At 34.4% G+C, this 19,531-nt stretch overlaps 1 protein-coding gene and 1 long non-coding RNA gene across 7 annotated transcripts in view, besides 1 other annotated feature; one reads left to right on the top strand and one right to left on the bottom strand.

Moving 5' to 3' along the window:
* Positions 1 to 8,097, bottom strand: part of LOC105377981 (uncharacterized) — a 58,946-nt gene extending 50,849 nt beyond the window's left edge. Inside the window, exon 1 of the long non-coding RNA XR_942943.3 lies at positions 7,912 to 8,097. This is a non-coding gene — a long non-coding RNA (uncharacterized LOC105377981). The remainder of the gene's footprint in view (positions 1 to 7,911) is intronic.
* TRDN (triadin) overlaps positions 1 to 19,531 on the top strand; it is a 420,612-nt gene that overhangs the window by 18,535 nt on the left and 382,546 nt on the right. The window lies entirely within an intron of this gene.
* Positions 7,345 to 7,545: a silencer, noted in NCBI's record as "peak6091 fragment used in MPRA reporter construct". NCBI's record gives its function as "represses an SCP1 promoter by STARR-seq MPRAs in K562 erythroleukemia cells {active_cell/tissue: K562}" and the evidence as "EXISTENCE:reporter gene assay evidence [ECO:0000049][PMID:32103011]".

Below are 19,531 nucleotides of genomic sequence, written 5' to 3'. Positions count from 1 at the left end.
TTTTCTGTTGGTGGCCAGCGGGAGATGCAATCAGCCAGCACTGGCTTTGAAGATAGAGGAAGAAGCTATGAGCCAAGTTATGTGGCAACCTGTAGAAGGTAGAAAGTACAAGGAGATGGATTCTCTCTAGAGGCCCCAGAAAGGAATGTAGCCCTGAAGACACTTTGATTTTAGCTCCTTGAGACCCATGTTGGACTTCCAAGTACAGAATTGTAAGATAAATTTGTGTTAAATTTGTGGTACTATGTTATGGTGCAGTAGAAAACTAATATACCAGTGTGTATCTGATTACTATAACTCTCTCTTACTCACTGGAAGACAAATTTTTAGAGGGCTCATATAAAATTAGCATAGGAGAATGGCAAATTTATTTTTCCTGGGCCCAGTGCAGTGGCTCATTCTTGTAATCACAGCACTTTGGGAGGCCGAGATGGGCGGATCACCTGAGGTCAGGAGTTTGAGACCAGCCTGGCCAACATGGCGAAACCCATCTCTACTAAAAATACAAAAATTAGCCGGGTGTGTTGGCGGGCACCTGTCATCCCAGCTACTTGGAGGCTGAGGCAGGAGAATCACTAGGACCCGGGAGACAGAGGTTGCAGTGAACCAACATCGCACCACTTCACTCCAGCCTGGGTGACAAGAGCAAAACTCCGTCTCAAAAAACAAACAAACAAATTTATTTTTCATGAAATATTTTTACATAAATCTTTTTAAAAATAAATAGTCTCCCTTTTATATTAGCAATCTGAAACTAAAAAGGAGTTCCTTTATCAAGGTCACAGAGCTCATGATTGTGACAACTAATGATACATTGACGAACAAGATTATTCTTTCTGTAGCAATGACTTTCAAGCCAAGAAATGAAGTTATCTAGCAAGTAACATTTTCCAGCTAATAATCAGCAAAATTAGAGAGGCACTTTATTTTTTTTTCCACTAATATATATTTGAAAACCTTAGGAGAGAGACTGTAGCTTGTGCAATATTTATTTCTTCTTAATATTGCTACATTGAACCTGCTTCCATTCAACTCAACAGGCATTTCTGAAATACAAACTGTGACTTGTTCTATAATCAATGGTGTTTGTATATATATTCAGCCACCTACATGCAATATATAATACATATTATCTGCATTTTAAACTGAACTTTTAAAAACGACCCCTCTGGTTCTTCGACCAGGACACCTTGCCCTACTTTGGAATGGGTATCCTTCACGTTCCTGGGCTGGCACACATCAGGAAGCTATGTACATTTTCAGCTGGATAAGAGCCTATTAATAGAAAGCTGACACTGCTGTGGTTAAAAAAAATCAGGTCAGAGATTAATTTCATGAAACCCATAGTCATGTCAGCTAAATATGATCTGTTTGAGGTAGGTGAAGGATGTGTGATCACTCTGTTGTTCAAACTCAAATAAATATGTCTTTCTTTTATATTTGCACCATGAAATATTTTTTCATTTGTCTAGGAATTCTAATCCTTGCATAAAATCATGCAGATTTTAAACTTCTGAAACAATCTTTGTGCTTAAACATCTTCCAAATAAGACTACTTAGAGAAAAAAAAATGGGGATCAGAATGTGGGATACAAGAAGATATGACAAGGTGATTAACTGAATTTGTTGTAAAAATAAAAGTTAGAAATAGAAATTTGGAATAAGCATAAAGTTAGGTTTGCAGGAAAGCAAGTTGTATCAGTTTGACCTGGAAATACTGGATGTTATTTAAAGGGCAGAATGTAGACATACCTTTGATGAGGAGTATTAAAAGAAAATATTCAGGAAGGAAAACAACAATAACAACAGAGCAAAATTGTAAGTGGTAAGAAATCATACATACATGTTTATACAGCATTTACACAGTATAAATGCATATGAATAAATATGAAGTATACATATATTTGATTTGTGATGTACAGAATAAAATGTAAAATTAAAGATTTTAATAAATATTGAGTTCCTACAACATATCAGACACTGCATGAAGCACTAAAAGAAAACATTTGATTTTTTTTTTTTTGCAAACCTGCTTTATAAATAATGTAAAGTATAACGTATATTATGGATATAATTTTCGTTTTTGAGATGGGGCCTCACTCTGTTATCCAGGCTGGAGTCCAGTGGCATGATCATAGCTCACTGCATCTCAAACTCCTGGGCTCAAGGGATCCTTCCAAGTCGCTGCAAGCACAGGCACATGCCACGACACCCAGCTAATTTTTTTTGTAGAGACAGGATCTTACTGTGTTGCCAAGGCTGGTCTCAAATTCCTAGCCTCAAGTGATCCTCCTGCCTCGGCATACCAAAGTGCTAGGATTATAGGCTTCAGCCACTGCCCCCAGCCTAATTTTTATAGGTCTTTTTTGCTTTATTATATATTTTTAACTGACACATATATATGAGTTACATGTGATATTTCCACACTTACATACAATGTATAATGATCAAATCAGGGTAATTAGCATGTTCATCACATCAAATATTTATCATTTCTTTTTGTTGGGAATATTCAAAATCCATTATTCTAGCTATTAAAAATATGCAAAAAATTGTTGTTAATTATAGTCACTTTACAATGCTGTAGGACAGTAGAACTTATTCCTCCTATCTAGCTGGAGTTTTATATCCATTAACCAACCTTTGGCTATCCTCACATCCCCACACTTTCTAGCCTCTAGTAACCACTATTCTACTCTCTACGTCTATGAGATCAACTTTTATAGCTTCCACATATGAGTGAGAACAAATAATATTTGTCTTTTTGTGTCTAGCCTATCTCACTTGACATAGCTCATCCACGTTGCTGTGAATGACAGGATTTCATTCTTTTTTAGGGACAAATAATATTCCATTGTGTGTGTGTGTGTGTGTGTGTATATACATGTTTTTCAAACGTGAATGGGCATTATATATATACACACACACACATACACACACACATTCCATTATTCATATATACACACACAGACGCATACACCACATTTGCTTTCTTCATTCATCTGTGGATGGATACTTAGGTTGATTACATATCTTGGTTATCATGAATAGTGCCACACTAAACCTGGGAGTGCAGTTATCTCTTCAACATACTGATTTCAATTCGTTTGGATATATACCAAGTAGTAGGATTCCTGGATCAATGGTAGTTATATTTTCAGTTTTTTGAGGAAGCCCCATACTATTTTTCATAATGGCTGCACTAATTTACATTCCCACCAACAGTGTGTGAGAGTTCCCTTCTCCATGTCCTTGCCATTATTTATTATCTTTTGTCTTTTTGATAATAGACATTCTAACTGGAGTGAGATATCTCATTATGGTGTTCATTTACATTTCACTGATGATTCGTGGTGTTGAGTATTTTTTTCATACACCTGTTGGCCATTTGTATGTATCTTTTGAGCGATGTCTATTCAGTTCATTTGCCAGGTTTTTAATCACACTATTTGTTTATTATTTGTTTTTGCTATTGTTTGAGTTTCTTGTATATTCTGGACATTAATATCTTATAAAACAAATAGTTTGCAAATCTTTTATTCTTTTCTGTTGGTTATTTCTTTACTATGTTGATTGTTTCCTTTGCTGTGCAGAATCTTTTTAGTTTGATATAATCCCATTTGTCTATTTTTGCTTTTGTTTCCTGTGCTTTTGTGGTCTTTTCCATAAAATGTTTTCCCAGACCATTGCCTTAAAGGAATTCCCCTAAATTTTCCTGTAGTTTCATGGTTTCAGGCCTTACATTTAAGTCTTTAATCCATTTTGAGTTAATTTTTGCATAAATTTTAATTTAAAATTAAACTTTAATTTAAAATAAATTTAGATTAAAATTTTAAATACACTTACGTTTTTCAAAAATATTTGACCATTCTGCAGTTATAATATTGATATAAATATCTTCAATAAGTGTAATTAAAAATAATTTTCTAAAATTGTATTTTTATATATAATAGTGTAATAGTATAACAGTAGCTTAAAGTCAGTAGCTAGTTTTAATATTTCTATTCTAGAATAACATTGCAAGTATGTTTTATTTTCTAAATTTACATTTTGTATATCTTTGAATTCATATTAAAATGGTCAATTTGAGGGTTTTTTTTGTTTTTTTTTTTTTTGTTTTTTTTTTTAATGAAGCACTTTCCCACGGTAACATTCTTATGTTAATCATATGGTGGGGAGTTTAAAGCAGGAAGTGATTTATACATACCTACAGCCATGCCTCCCAAACCTTAACATGTATATGAATCACTTGAGGATCTTGTCAAAAGGCAGGTTCTGATTTAGTAGTTCTGGGATGGAGCCTGAGAACCTGCATTCCTAACAAGCCCCCCAGGTACTGAGGAGGTGCTGGTCTTAGAGCACAGTTTGAGTAGCAATATCCTAGAGCATCTTAAAGGGTGACTAGAAAATAACTCTGCTTTAGCTTCCAGTCTCTAGGTTTCAACTGAAATGAATAAACCAATGGATATCCTGTGAGAAAGGACCAGAGGAAGAAGATTTTCTTTTATCATTTATCTTTTATGTGACTTTTGAAAGAATGTATATGAGCCTTTTTAAGAAGGAAAGTTCACAATACTGGTTATTTGTGTGCCATCCAACTCATATTCATTGTTATGTGGCATCAAATAGTTTCAATCCTGCCAAATCTAAAAACAATTTTTTCACCTTTCAATGATACTTTTATGATGGCTTTGGAAGGCTTAGATGTTTTAAATGGATATTAATTGTAAGACATTTTATTTTGATGCTTTTTAACACAAATATTATCAATTACTATCAATTTATATTTACTGAATATCATCTGGTGTCTTGTATTAGGTTTGACACTTCTGAACACATTTCTCTCTACAAGGCACTGCAAGCTGTCTCCATGCTTAATTTAAAAAAAAAGTTTCAACTAAGCTCTGAATAATTGAGTTCATTGAGCAGAATAAAATAGTGGATTAATTAATAGTGTTACCTTTAATGGATTAGTGTTGAAAAATATGCTCATCTCTCTTTCTGTTAAGAGTGATAAATTTTTAATTCCTTGTAATAATTAGGAAACATAAAACGTGCAAATATATGCTGAAATGTATTTATTCATTAAACTGATACCAAATCATTACGTTTATTTTAATTGAAATTGGAAATGTTTCCCAGTTTTAATGTAAGTTGGGATTTTGCTCATGGAAAGTTTGGCATTAGCTGACCATTCCCAAATCATGAGTCTGTTTTCTAGGATACTGTTGGCACACAATATGAGCCTCAGATTTGTTCAATGCATAAAATTTCCCAATGCTTTGGTAAGTGAAGGATGATGCAGTCGTCCTTTGTACTTATTTTAGGTCATTAACCAAATGTACTACTTTTCCTTGTTATTTGATACATCTAATTTTATGCTGTATTCAGTTATTGATTTTATTTCTATGATGAGAAAGAAATGTCATGATGATAAGTAGGTGGAATTATAGAAAAATAGAGTTGGAATGAATTGAAGACCACCTCAAGCAGTTTCATATAAGACACAAGTGTTATTCATGTTAAAAAATTATGTGCCTGGAGACTACTTCTAGTCTGTCTACTGTCCCTAGGCAGGAATATGCTTAAACTGTGAGAAAGTCAAAGAAAATTAATATCTACCCTATAGTTAAATATTTCCACGCACTGGTACTCAATATTTTCCTTAGAAAACTACTTGTGCCTAACCATACTTATGTCAAGATGTCTTCATCTTGACGCACAGTGGTGCGTGCCTGTAGTCCCAGCTATTTGGGAGCCTGACGTGGAAGGATCCCTTGAGGCCAGGAGTTCAAAGCTGTGATACATGATGATCAGGCATGTGAACAGCCACTGCACTTAAAAGATGTCCTCTCCTAAATCTCTCCTGTTAAGATTTAACACAAGTGATTCTCCTTACTCAGCCTCCCGAGTAGCTGGGATTACAGGCGCCCGCCACCACCATGCCCAGATAATTTTTTTTTTTGGATTGCTGTTCTTATTTCCTTTTTTTAAAATTTTATTATTATTAAACTTTAAATTTTAGGGTACATGTGCACAACGTGCAGGTTTGTTACATATGTATACATGTGCCATGTTGGTGTGCTGCACCCATTAACTCATCATTTAGCATTAGGTATATCTCCTAATGCTATCCCTCCCCCCTCCCCCCACCCCAGATAACTTTTTTTTTTCTGTATTTTTAGTAGAGACCGGGTTTCACCATGTTGGCCAGGCTGGTCTCGAACTCCTGTGACCTCTCAGGCGATACACCCACCTCAGCCTCCCAAAGTGCTGGGATTACAGGTGTGAGCCATTGCGCCCGGCCCCCTCTTCTATTTTCGAACTTGAAAATGGCAGATCACCACTGTCTTTATAGAGACTCTTTGTTTTGTAGAACACTAATCTTGAACATCGTTCTTAGCTTTTGACTTAAGTTGAAAGGTTTGAACCAAGAAAAACTTTTCTTCATATGCTGTATATTATTTCCAGACTTTTAGTCATATTAACTTCTTATGTGCAAATCTCAATAGTGTATTTTGGGAATGTGTAGATGTGATATTTCAAACTTTATTATCAGATAAAGCAAAGGTTCTGACTGATCCAAAAATCTCCACCAAACTAATTAGATGGAATGCCAGCCTTGATTCTGTGCTTGTGCTTACTGACTAAATATCAGCTCTGTGTATCAAGAATATTTGGTGAAAAAATTGTATGAAGAGTCAGACAATCATAGATCTAAAATCCTGTACTCACAATGTGACTTATCCATGTTTTCTTTCTGAAATGCAGCTTTTTTGATCTATGATAGAACGATTACAATGACAGTTCATATACTATATATATGAAAGTACCAGCACTGTCTTATACATAATAGGACATCATAAATATGAATTTATTTCTTTTATCTTATGTTGATCAAACATTATGGGAGCGCTAAAGAATTATAAATCTACATAGGTGTATGCATGAATCATACATACATAAAATGGATAATACATAAAAATTATTTCATTTTTATTTATTCATAATAGTAAAGATTATAATGTCCCTCTAACTTAAGCAGACTACAGTGTGGGCAACTGTTACATTGTTCTTTTTTGCCCTCTCATATCTTGTGAATATAGCGTAATTTTTGTTCTACTCAATTCAGTTCTCTTGGTTATTCCAAAAGTATTCGCATTTGCATTTATCAGATTTAGAATTTAAAGTAAAACCTTATTTTTATACATTGAGGTTTTACTTTTCAATTTTCATTTGCATACTAATCACATTTTAGTATTTTACAGGAATTATGAAGTTCCTAAGTAAATTACTTCTTTCAGCTCTAAGAATGCTCACAAATGACTAAGGTAAATAGTCTTCTCAGAGTTGATTCAGCTTATTGGGCCCTTGTGTTATTTTTCTATTGTTGTGCTACAGTGTTATCACACTCAGCAGCTTAAAGTAGCAGTCTTGATTATCCCACAGTTTCTCTGTGTCAGGAGTCTGGGTGTGACTTAATTGGGTCTTCTACTTTGGGGCCTCTCAAATCTGTGGCACATTTTTAGGATCTGATCTGCTCTCCTAGATGTATTTAGACTCTAGGAGTCCCACTTTGGTGCTCAAATAAACTTAATGCAGTTTTTTTCTTTTGTTAAATGTTATGAAAAACATGAGGGACCACATTCATTTAACTTTGTTTCCAGAGAGTCCCCATACTTAAAAGAAAAAGAGGAGGCATTTGGTGTCTGGTCTTGCATTAACTTCTACTCATAGTCCAACTGTCGCTGTTTAAAATGAAGGTACATTATAGGCTCTCATAGCATGGATATGTCTCATTTGTAGCATTTGTCACAGATACAATTGTTCATTTATATGATTATTTAATAGATATCTCTGTCACTTACTCTTGGCCCAGTAAAGACAGCGACTATGAAAAAAATTGCTTACCTTTTGTACCCAAGCACCTGGCAGAGTGCTTGGTACATAGAAGGCATTCAGTAAATCATTGCAGAGTGAATGAACACATAGCGACATGGAATGAGAGTCATCAGTAACTCAAAGCTCTTCCTGGGCAACATAAGTGATGTTATCAAGCATCAGGAAGCAATAGAGGCTGCATTGATTTGAAGCTGGGACCTGTTTTAAGGGAAGAAAGAAATTCACAGTGAGAATGGTGCATTACTATGGCTGAGCCATGTTGTTCTTTGGTATATTCATTTTTATCTCTATTTTCTCTAACATTTTTAATACCCTGGCATTTACTGAGGCATCATTAGACATGGCACTTGTGAAACTTCAGTATATTTTGGAGACTCTTAATAGCTATTGCATGCAAGAAATCATTCCGTTCACTTGTGAAGTCAACTGGACAGGTGAAAATTAAAGCTATTTTTGAAATCACTTGTGGTTGTTCCATATAAAATTATTCTCCAGTTGTAACTTTAGTTTATTGAAAAAGCTTATTTCAGGACTTCTAGTATAAATTTACTTCTAATTATTTGGAAAGTTTCTTATATATCATCCATCCACTGAACAATCATATACCGAGTGCCTCCTTTTTTAGCTAGATACAGTAGAAGGAGCTAGGAATAGAGACTGGTAGGGTGGAAAGACAGGAATTTTAATGTAATATATCTATAAACTTTATATGAGAACAATTATGATTCATGCACGCAATATCATGATAGCACATAAGTAGGATACCAGCCCATAGGCTAGGGACAAAAGTGGGAACATTCTCAGGAATAAATTCTATTTAGAGGAGATACGTGAGTGAAGTCTTTAAGAACCAATTCAAGTCAGTTTGGAGAAGAACAAAGAGAGAAGTGATTAATTCCCTAATTTTGTTCCATCTGTGTTTTGCCAACTTATATTTAATTCTCTCATGTAATTAATAAACAAGTGTTTATCAAGCAGTTTGAGATTGGCAAGATGGATTTCTTTTTTTATAAATACACAAATAACATATGCTTGAGTTATAAAAGTAAGAAAGTACAGAAAATAGAAAAAAGATACACTCATCATTATAACTATATTATACTCCTCTAATTTCTTTTCACATGTATGTTATAATTATATATTTTTACAAAAATGGGGTTATGCTGACTAATGTTTTATGATGAGTTCTCTAATAAAAATTTCTTGAATTTTTTCCTATCAGTAAATATAAGTTTTACTCCACATATATATGCATGGATATATTGTATTTCATTATATTGTTTACTTAGCTGATCCTTTTTTGTTGAATACTGCTTCCATTCTTTTTGTTTTTGTTTTTTTGAGATGGAGTCTCCCTCTGTCACCCAGACTGGAGTGCAGTGTCACAACCTCGGCTCACTCCAACCTCCGCCTCCTGGGTTCAAGTGATTCTCCTGCCTCAGACTCTCAAGTAGCTGGGATTACAGGCGCACACCACCATGCCCTGCTAATTTTTGTATTTTTAGTAGAGACGGGGTTTCACCATGTTGGCCAGGCTGGTCATGACCTCCTGACCTCAAGTGATCTGCCTGCCTCGGCTTCCCAAAGTGCTGAGATTACAGGTGTGAGCCACCGAGCCCAGCCTGCTTCCATTTTTTTTTCATGAGTATAAACAATACAGAAATGATCATATTTTTGCTCAGTGATTCATTCCTTTGTAAAACTTTAAAATGCTGATTCAAAGACATATGATTTTAAGCATTTGACATAATGATAAATTTTCCCCAGAAAACGTATCCCAGTTTTAACAACCATATTCAATATGTTAATCTTCATTTCTTCATACCTTTTCCAATACTGTGAATGTACTTTTGAATGTTTTCTGATGATATAAGAAAAAACATATCATTTTTAAAGTTGCATAATGAGATTGAGGTTTACCATTTATTGTTCAATATTGTTTCTTTTGTGAAATGCCTACACATTTCAGGATAAATTTTGCCAAATTCAAATGAGTTATAACCATATATTTGAAATATATAGCCCTTTACTAAGTTGCTTTCAATTCTCACTGATTTAGTCATTTTTTCACTAAGATATTTATGATAAACACAACTCTCGTGAAAATGTTTTAAGAAGGCTAAAGTGAAATTGGCAAGAAGATAACACTTTTGAAGACCGTGCTGGGATCAGGATAGAATTGCAAGTGACTGACAAGTATTTTTTAAATTAAATTATCATAGCTGCCCTAGAAGATAGAGCATATTAATAATGAAACTTAAAGATAAGGAACTTAAAGTACAGAGATACTAAATAATTTACCCAATCAATCAGTTAGTAAGATGTACAGAAAGGAATTGAGCCCATGTTGTCTGAGTTCATATATGATATATGTATATAAGGTTGCCCATTTGAAGTATCACATTTATCTCAGGCTCCTAAGTTCAATATCATTATTTTCACTTGCAGTTAGTAAATTTTGGAGTATAGTTGACACCTTATTGGCACTTCTTCATAGTAAAAGCTATTTTGAAAGTATAAGTCTGGGCTGGGCTTGGAGGCTCATGCCTATAATCCAGGCACTTTGGGAGGCCGAGGTGGAAGAATTGCCTGAGGCCAAGAGTTCAAGACCAGGCTGGGCAACATAAAAGGCCCCATCTCTAATTAAAAAAAAAAAAAAAAAGACTAAAAGAGAAAGCATAAATCTGAATGTGCCATTAATAAAGTTACATGTCTAGAACATAGTAGACTGTGAAGCCATGAAATAGCTTAACAGTAAAGGAAAGAGGCTTTAATATTTTCCTTACAAATGAAAGTATCTTCAGGTTGTAAATCAGAATTTATGAATATGGCAAATAAACATAATCTGCAAGTTGTATAATTTCTATATGGAGAGCATCTGACGATTAAAAACAAAATCTTGCTGCAGCAACACAAATGACATGTTTGTAAATTCAAACACAAGCCATGTGCGGAGAGACTACAACCTTTATCCAAACGCTTGTTTGATACAGCAGAGGGCCATGTGCTGAAAATACAATCTCCACATGTTAAGGCCCAGTAATCTTCTAAATTAATGTAATCTGTATATATAGAGAAAGTATATGATCACAGTTTCTGAATCTCTTTTGAGGTTTCTTCTGAGTTTCTTCATAGGCATATATCAACATTAATAACCTATTTTATTTTTTACCAACAATAGTGAGTTTATGTCCTTCCAGCACAATGCTGCTTTTATAAGTCCCATTGAGTTTAGTCTACGAAGCATATTTACTTTCACATTTCCAAATTAGCAGAATTAAAATGTTAAAGACCATGTACCTCATAATGGAAGCAGAAATTCATTAAGAAATAATTTATGAAAATGAATCAATAAAGTAATCCCTAATTAATACAATAATCCAGTACTGTAATTGAATTCAGTTTCTTTTTGAGAACCACTTGTGACTGTGTCTGAAAGCTTTGCAGTGTTTTCAAATTGTTTTGTAAGAAGAGAACCCTCAAGATTCTTTCAGTGGAGGCAAAGGCAAAAACTCAGGCTTATCAATGTGTGGGGGGACTCCCAGAGGCAACAAGTTCCCAGGGGACCTCAGTATCTAGATTAGTGCTTGCCAACATGTAACATGTGCCACTAATGGTAAAGATGATTGTATATAGTATAAAGATGAGCATTTCTATTTTAATAGTCATACATTTCTTTGAATACTTATTAGAAGCAATATAACTAGCACATCTAACCCATAATTTATAACTGTAGCTAGATGAAGCTATATTTTTTGAAAATTGCTACATAATAAAAGTTTTTAAAATATTGTAGATTTATACATAACAAAGAATATTTGGCTTATGATTAAAAATGGGTTATTAAATAAATACTGCATGGACACATTTATATATCAGGAAGAAAATCAGTGAACCTCTGTTTCTACCATATATGAGTAACTACTGAAAGAATAACATCTTAAATATAAAAATAAAACAATAAAAGTGTTGACTAAACTAGAAAATTATATGTAAAGCCTAATGATGAGGAACTTCCTGAGAATGAAAATTTAAGATATACTTTTTAATAAGATGGACATATTCATATGTCCATCACACACATACACACACAAAATCTATGGTACAACAAATTATGGCATAAAAAAAGCAAATAGGAAACAAAGGGAAAAAAACCATGCTTGTTCAATAGAAGTCTATATTTGGTCAGATGTATTTATGCACTTATATAAAATGTATGTATATGTATGTATGGATTAAATCATTAAAATATTTTTCAGATTATATTAAAAATAATATGAGTGATACTTGATTATGTTAGAAATAATAAAGTTGATACTTAAACTACTGAAAAATCTCCTTACGGTCTTTCTCATTCTACTAAATTATTTAATTTTGTTCTTTATAATTTCATTAAATGTCATTTTTATCTTGCTTGCACTATAAATATATTTAGCAAATTCTTTATTCACAGGAAACTAGGAGATAAACTTCAGTTTGGTAACATTGAATGAGCACACATTTGAAAGGATTGATTTTCCAATAATGATCATTGGCTTGGCTTCCTCTTTCACAGAGATAATGAGGCCAGTCTCTGCCCATGCCACTGAAACTTAAACTTGAAAATTTTACTCAGTGATGCTAACCATCAAAAACAAAATAGGAGGCTTAATAGGCATAAAAGTTAATTAAACTATGGTTATAAATTTTACAAATATTAATTTCTTCAGGAATGCAATCTTTTATTATTAAAAAGCTTTTGTTTTTGTTTTTGAGACAGTCTTGTTTTGTTACCCAGGCTAGAGTACAGTGGCACAATCTCGGCTCACTGTAACCTCCGCCTCCCAGGTTCAAGCAATTCTCCTGCCTCAGTCTCCTGAGTAGCTGGGTTATAAGTCTATACAACCACACTTGGCTAATATTTTTTTTTTTTTTTTGTAGAGAGGGTTTCGCCATATTGCCCAGGCTGGTCTCGAACACTAGGCCTCCCAAAATGCTGGAGTTACAGGCATGAGCCACCACGCCTGGCCCAAAAACATCTTTATTTGTTGTTGGCTGCCATCACTAAACCGTCTTGAATCATATGAATCATCTTACACATCTGATGTGTTATGTCAATTATTTCAGGCTTTCTTCTAAAATATCTGCTTATTTCTCTCCAATATGTTCAGAGGAGTTTTGCCTAGCCCTAGAAAGAGTTAATGTATATTTTATACATATATGTTTATATATATGTGTGTGTTTATATGTATTATATATAAATATATATTTATATATAAATAATTATTTGATGGAAATAATAATTATTAAATAATTATTAAAATATTTATTTTGACAATGTATCATTTAGAATAAAATGAGGATAGAAGGCAACATACCACCTGGCTACTTTGTTACAAGAGTCACAATGATGACAGCTTACCTCTCAAATTAAAATCTTATTTTGTAAACAAATATATCTACATGCATCTAGTCAACAATGATATGCAAATCACATCTGCTTGTGCACACAATGAGATATGTGTGAGTGTTTACGTGTTTGGCATATTTGTCAATAATATAAAATATTAAGAACTAAGAAATGACCATTATTTTTCCCATCTAGGTACTAATCTATTCTAGTGACTATAAATTCATAATTTTCCCCAGCAAACTTACTTGTTTTCCTTGATTTCCCGTAGTGGTGAATGACACCACTGTCTGTTTATTTACCTACTTTCTAGAAATAGAACACTAATAATCAAATCATTGACCTTCCCCACCCTCGATTTATCATATCATTACCCCTCCCAACACAAACACTCTCTAATCATCAAACAATTTAAGTCCTGCAGACACTGTTTCCTGGATATTTTAAAATTCCATCTCTTTCTCTCTATTCTTCGTGTCATTCTGAGAGTTTGGCCTCTTATCACAAAAACCCTAGATTTCTGCAAAATCTTCTAATTTAGCTTCTGAGTCTTACCCCAACTACTGTGCCCAGCTGTTTAAATAAGCTTTCCAAAATACAAATATGATTAAGATCCTTCTGTAATATTTAGCTCTGGCTTGCTGTGTTGTTTGTTATGAAGTCCAGCCTCTTCATTTCAGCACTCGCAGGCATTGTAAATGTATTTTCTGCCTACCTATCTCTTTATCCTTTTCCCTCTCCATTTTGCTACAAGTGTCTTTGCCTCCGGCAATGTGAATAGACCTGCAATGTCATGAATGTAGGCTTCTTTCATTCTTTAAGCTTTTACACATGCTGCCCCTTTCCCTGGCTTAGTTGTCCTCCTCACAGTATGTTCCCACAGCAGCCTGTGCGTGACAGGGTCACACGATTAACAGTGCTGTGATTATGGCTCACTTCTCTGTCTGCCTCAGCAGTCTCTAAGACCCTTGAGGGAAGGATCAGATCTTGTTTTTCTGTGTCCAACACTGTCGCGGTAAGCACTCAATATTCATTTGTCAAATGATAAAAGGGGACAAATTCAGTAGTTGAGTTAGTTGTAGCAATCTTTCGGTAACTCATCTGTTTATTCCAGATAGGTATAATGTTATTCCTTTTGATAAAAATATTAACTCTAATTACATTTTCTAAACAACATATAGGAAAATATCAGTAGGGGTGAGTACATTATTGGAACTGATGCATTTGAGAAAAGTAGATTATTAGATGCATGTGAATTGCTAATTTCAGTTTATGCCCAATGATATCTTCAGAAATGCATGCTGTGAGGTAAAAATTTCTGGAAAGATCTAACTTTTACGAAGTGATTGCAAAGTAGATATCCAAGGGAATTTCCAGTTGTCATTATCAGCAAAGGGTTCAGAATCTATGGAACATGGACAATGGCAGTAAGCAAAGTATAAAGAATCTCAAATCTTTAAAAATTAAGGAGTATAGAGTCTAGGTCCGTCTTTTTCATTATCATAACATGAAACAATGTCTGGAACATAGTAAGTGCTTAGTAAACATCTGATAAATGAATGTATGAAAGAATAAATGCATGAATGTTGGAGGGATAATTGAATAAATAAGTAAATAAATTGATCCCATTTTATAATATTTAGCTATGGTATAAAAACAAAACAAATACCAAAATAAAGTGTCTTGAAAAATCATCACAGACCTCAATACAGAAAAAAAAAGAGTAAAACAGGTATATATGTAAATAAAAGAAGTTTTGAGAGGAAGGGAGATAACTCTGAACATAATTTATAGTACTAAAGTTTCAGTAAAGGATAAGATATGCATTGGGTTTGATTAGAAAGATAAAAATCAAGTGTTGACATTTTTCCTGTGGCCTCTGAGATAAGACTAAGACTAAATCAGCCTGTTCATTTCTAGTTCTAATTGTGTGTCTGTGATCTTAGTTTAGATTATGTGTACACAGAAAAAAGTAAAAATAAATACTATTATGGTTGTGACTGGATTTCAGTAGTTCTTTGATTTATCCATTTGTTATACATTAGTCCTTGGAATAACAAAGGTCTGAGTTCTGAATATCTGAAATTTAAGTGAGAACTAATGTTAGATTAAATAATACATCCAACATTAAAATTCAGTTTAGTGCTGCTGCATAATCTCATAAATCTAAATCACATACTGATTTTTTTTTAAATAACTGTCCTTTGGCTGAAGTAATAGCATGAAGTCGTTGATGTGTATGAATAACACAGTAATTAAGTTGTTTTTACTTTGTTGCTGGTTTGAGATTTTGTCCTGGGCTGTGAGTGCTAGTCCACTGACATATGGAAATAACAAGAGCTTCCTTTTAAAAGGTGCTCTTTCCACCATAAGTGCAGGGAGAGGGAAGTTTATCCTAAGTAGTATGATTTTCATGGAGTTCAGTTTCTCTGTGTTGTCAGCAGTACCCTTCACATGGAAGGAAATACATTGAGATAGGGTAACTCCTGGAGTCAGCTGAGTTGGGGTACCCCTCTTTGCTCTTCAAACTCATTTTTTAGTTTTATTTCAATAATTGTTGGGGTACAGGTGGTTTTTGGTTGCACAGATAAGTTCTTTAGTAGTTGTTTTTGAGATTTTGGTGAACTCATCACCTGAGCAGGGTACACTGTACCCAATATGTAGTCTTTTATCCCTCGTTCCCCCCTACAACCCTTCCCTCTGTGTCCTCAAAGTCCATTGTATCATTCTAATGCCTTTGCATTTTCATAGCTTAGCTCTCACTTATAAGTGAGAACATATGATATTTGGTTTTCCATTCTTGTGTTACTTCACTTAGAATAATGCCCCCAGCTCCATCCAAGTTGCTGGAATGGCCATTACGTGATTCTGTTTTATGGCTGAGTGGTATTCCATGGGGTATGTATGCCACATTTTATCATTTGTTGGTTGATGGGCATTTAGGTTGGTTATATATTTTTATTCAAACTTATTTTTTAAAAAACAGATTCAAATGCAACTTCTCCTCACTAGAATGTAAACGTCATGAGAGCAGGGACTATATTGCCAGTGTTTAGAATGGTGCCTGACATATAGTTACCATTCATTAGGTATTTACAATTATTCTTGATACCTTAGTTCCAGCTAATAGAATTGATAAAGTCTAGCTCTCTGAGTTCTAGTCTTGATACCACCATTTTCCAGTACTTATCACATAATGTTTCTGAGCCTCAGTTTCCTCTTTCTAAAGTGAGAATGAGACTAGCTGCCAACCAACCTCAAGTAGATCAGTTGATATGATGTATGTGAATTGTGTAACAAACTGAAGTGTTGCACAAATGTATTAATATAATATTGTTAACCTAACAAACAAGTAAAAACTTTTGAAGTGGTCTTTTGTTACCTGCCAGCTTAGAGTTCCCCAGTTCATGTAGATCAAAACTGGGATTGCCACAGGTTGCAGAAGGATGCCTGGACAAAGAAGTGAGAATGTGTGCAAATCTGACATGTTCTCTCTGCAAGAAACACTGAGCTCTGGTGTAGCAGCCCTGACTGCTTAGAGGAGGGAACTCCTTTTACCAATTAGCACCAATGGGGCATGTGGAGTAACTGGAGCCATGGCAAAGATCACCATTGATTCTCCATTATATTCGATTTAGTGTTAAAAAATATAGTCCCTGTTATGATGAAACCTGCTATTCAATGTACAGAAAGGGCTGCAACTTTGTCCTTCTTAAATCCTATGGGTATGCATACCACAGGGGTGAACAAAAGGTGTTGATGACAACATATCACTCTGAGTTTCTTTAACCTGTTGTAAGGTAAAGCATTATGCTGTTCATAGAAAGTTGATAAATTTTGGTCCTCAAAAGTCAGACTTGTCAATGCAGGACATTTTGTTACCTACTTAAATTCTATCTCTGCTGTGCATCCAGAAAAATATAAAACTTTAATACTGATATCTTTATTAAAAATGGATATGCATATATTTAATAGTCATCATCACAAAATTGATTATGGTATACTTTAAATAGCCTTTCTTGGCCAGCCTTTTATAATAACACAGATAAATTGTCTACTTTTTCTGGTGAGAGAGTGGGGAAAAAATAAGGAATTAGGTAGATACAACATGTATGTTTTTCCAAGTATTTTCATATTTGCAACTTTTCAGTTATGTTCAGTATTTAACTGATAAGTACATATAAATAATAATTTTTTTGTTTTTAAAACAATTTGCTAACAGCCAAAAGTGCATATAATACTATTCAATAGATGTAATTGTGCTAAACAAAGGCAGAATTCTTTTCTCTAGAGTTTAAATGTGGGAAGCAAAAACTGGACAGTAGAATTATCCCTGTACTTATGAACGTCTCTCAACAATACTTATAGTTATTTGTGATTTTGAATGATGAATGTTCTACTGCCTCTCCAACTGCTGTATAACCAGAGCGGTCAATATTTTTGGACACAAAACTGAATGCACTTCATATCCCCGTGTGTCTCTACCAGAACAAAACTTCAGGGCCCAGAAAAACTGAGAACAGCTACCACTATTTCTGTTCCCTCAGATTATGTCCCCATCCCTTTCCCATAATAAAGCTTCCTGCCCTTTTTTCAGGCCCCCACTGCCAGGACTCCACCCATTTTCTCCATTGTCCACTGCACAGCGCCATCATCATTGTCCGAAGCTAAATCTTTCCCCTTTACACACCCAACCCGGGTTCCATTCTGAGGAGGGCATTCCTCCTTTCTCAGCTCCTACTCCTGGAGATTCTATTGCAGTGGCTAAGATTCAATGGTGTTCTACATGCAGACCCTCTGGGGGCTTAGCTTAAGGGAAGGGAGAGCACTCTGCTTATTCACATTAATAAGTCTTCAGATACCGTGAGGATCTGGTGATACAGGTTCAGATACAAAACATGCTCCTGGAATAAATGCCTGGGAACGGTAACACAAAAGGGCACAAAGGGGTTCATTTCTAATACAGTACACATTTTTGGAGCATCTATTCCATAAAAGGCATCATGTGGCATTCAGTATTCAACTCTGCACACCAATTCAATAACATTTGCTTAGTGCCAGTCATTGTGCTGGGCACCAGAGGTATACAAATGAATATGAGAAGCTTCTAGGAGCTTATGTTCTAATGGGAGATCTGGAAACATAAACAGGCAATTGCAATATAATATGCCAATATGTGCAAAAAGGGTATTCTGGAAACATCCAGGAAGGACATTTATCTCATCTCGGAGGCATATATCCATGGCTTCCTGAAAGAACTGAAGCTTGAGCTGACTAGCACTTGCTCCACACTAGATAAAATGCAAACATATTTAAAAGTGTGAGGATGTCTAGAGTTTTATTTGTGTAACAATTCAGCTGCATAATACTAAAAAGATTTTGGTAGGTTGCATAATATTAAAAAGGTTTTGATACTGAGACCATAACCAACCCTCATACATTCTTTAATCAAAATGGGGAAATACATTTGTGCTCCAAATAACCACCTTACAGAAATCTTTCAGGACATAATGCTTATTTAGAAAAAAAAAATAGCACCAAATTATGAAAGGGATTAACAAAAAAATGGCAATAATGTGCTTTTTTGCAATTGGTAGTGAATGCATTAAAAACAGTATGATTTTTACATGAATGAAAATGCATAGTTTTACCTATTATGCATTCTGAACATTGGTTGAAGAAATAAATTTCTGAATTATTTACATCTCATGGCTTTATTGCAATGGTAGTTATGAATGAGTTTAGCATCAGTTGTGTACTTTGCAATGTAAAGGCTCTTCAAATAAATGAAACTCTAAGCCTCCAGGGCTTATATTCTCAGTTATATAACCCCAATGATCATATCCACGAAAAAGCAGTTTAATCTCAGAATTTTAGAATTTCATGTACAGAGCAAAGAATAAATGGATAGAGCTGAAGTAATTTCCCCTCAGAGAGACATTGTAGAAAGCCATATTTATATGTAAGAATATTTATCATTGTTATCAATTAATAGTTAGGGAGTTTGTCATTAAAGGGAAGAGTTAACAGCTATTGTGCCTGACATATTGCTAAGTACTGCAACTATTTTTTATGATCATCCTATGAGGTAGTTTTAATGATCTGTTTTATAGAGAACACCGAGGTGCAGATGCTAGTACAAAGTTAGGATTCAAACCCAGCACTGTCCCATCCTAGCACTACTTTTATTTCCTGTGCCATATGCCTCTCCTATGCCTGATTCATATTTATGAAATGCTG

Source organism: Homo sapiens, chromosome 6 (genome assembly GCF_000001405.40).
Source record: "Homo sapiens chromosome 6, GRCh38.p14 Primary Assembly".
Lineage (NCBI taxonomy): Eukaryota > Metazoa > Chordata > Mammalia > Primates > Hominidae > Homo > Homo sapiens.
The sequence above is the reverse complement of the archived record's forward strand: the minus strand, read 5'-3'. Positions and strand labels throughout refer to the sequence as shown.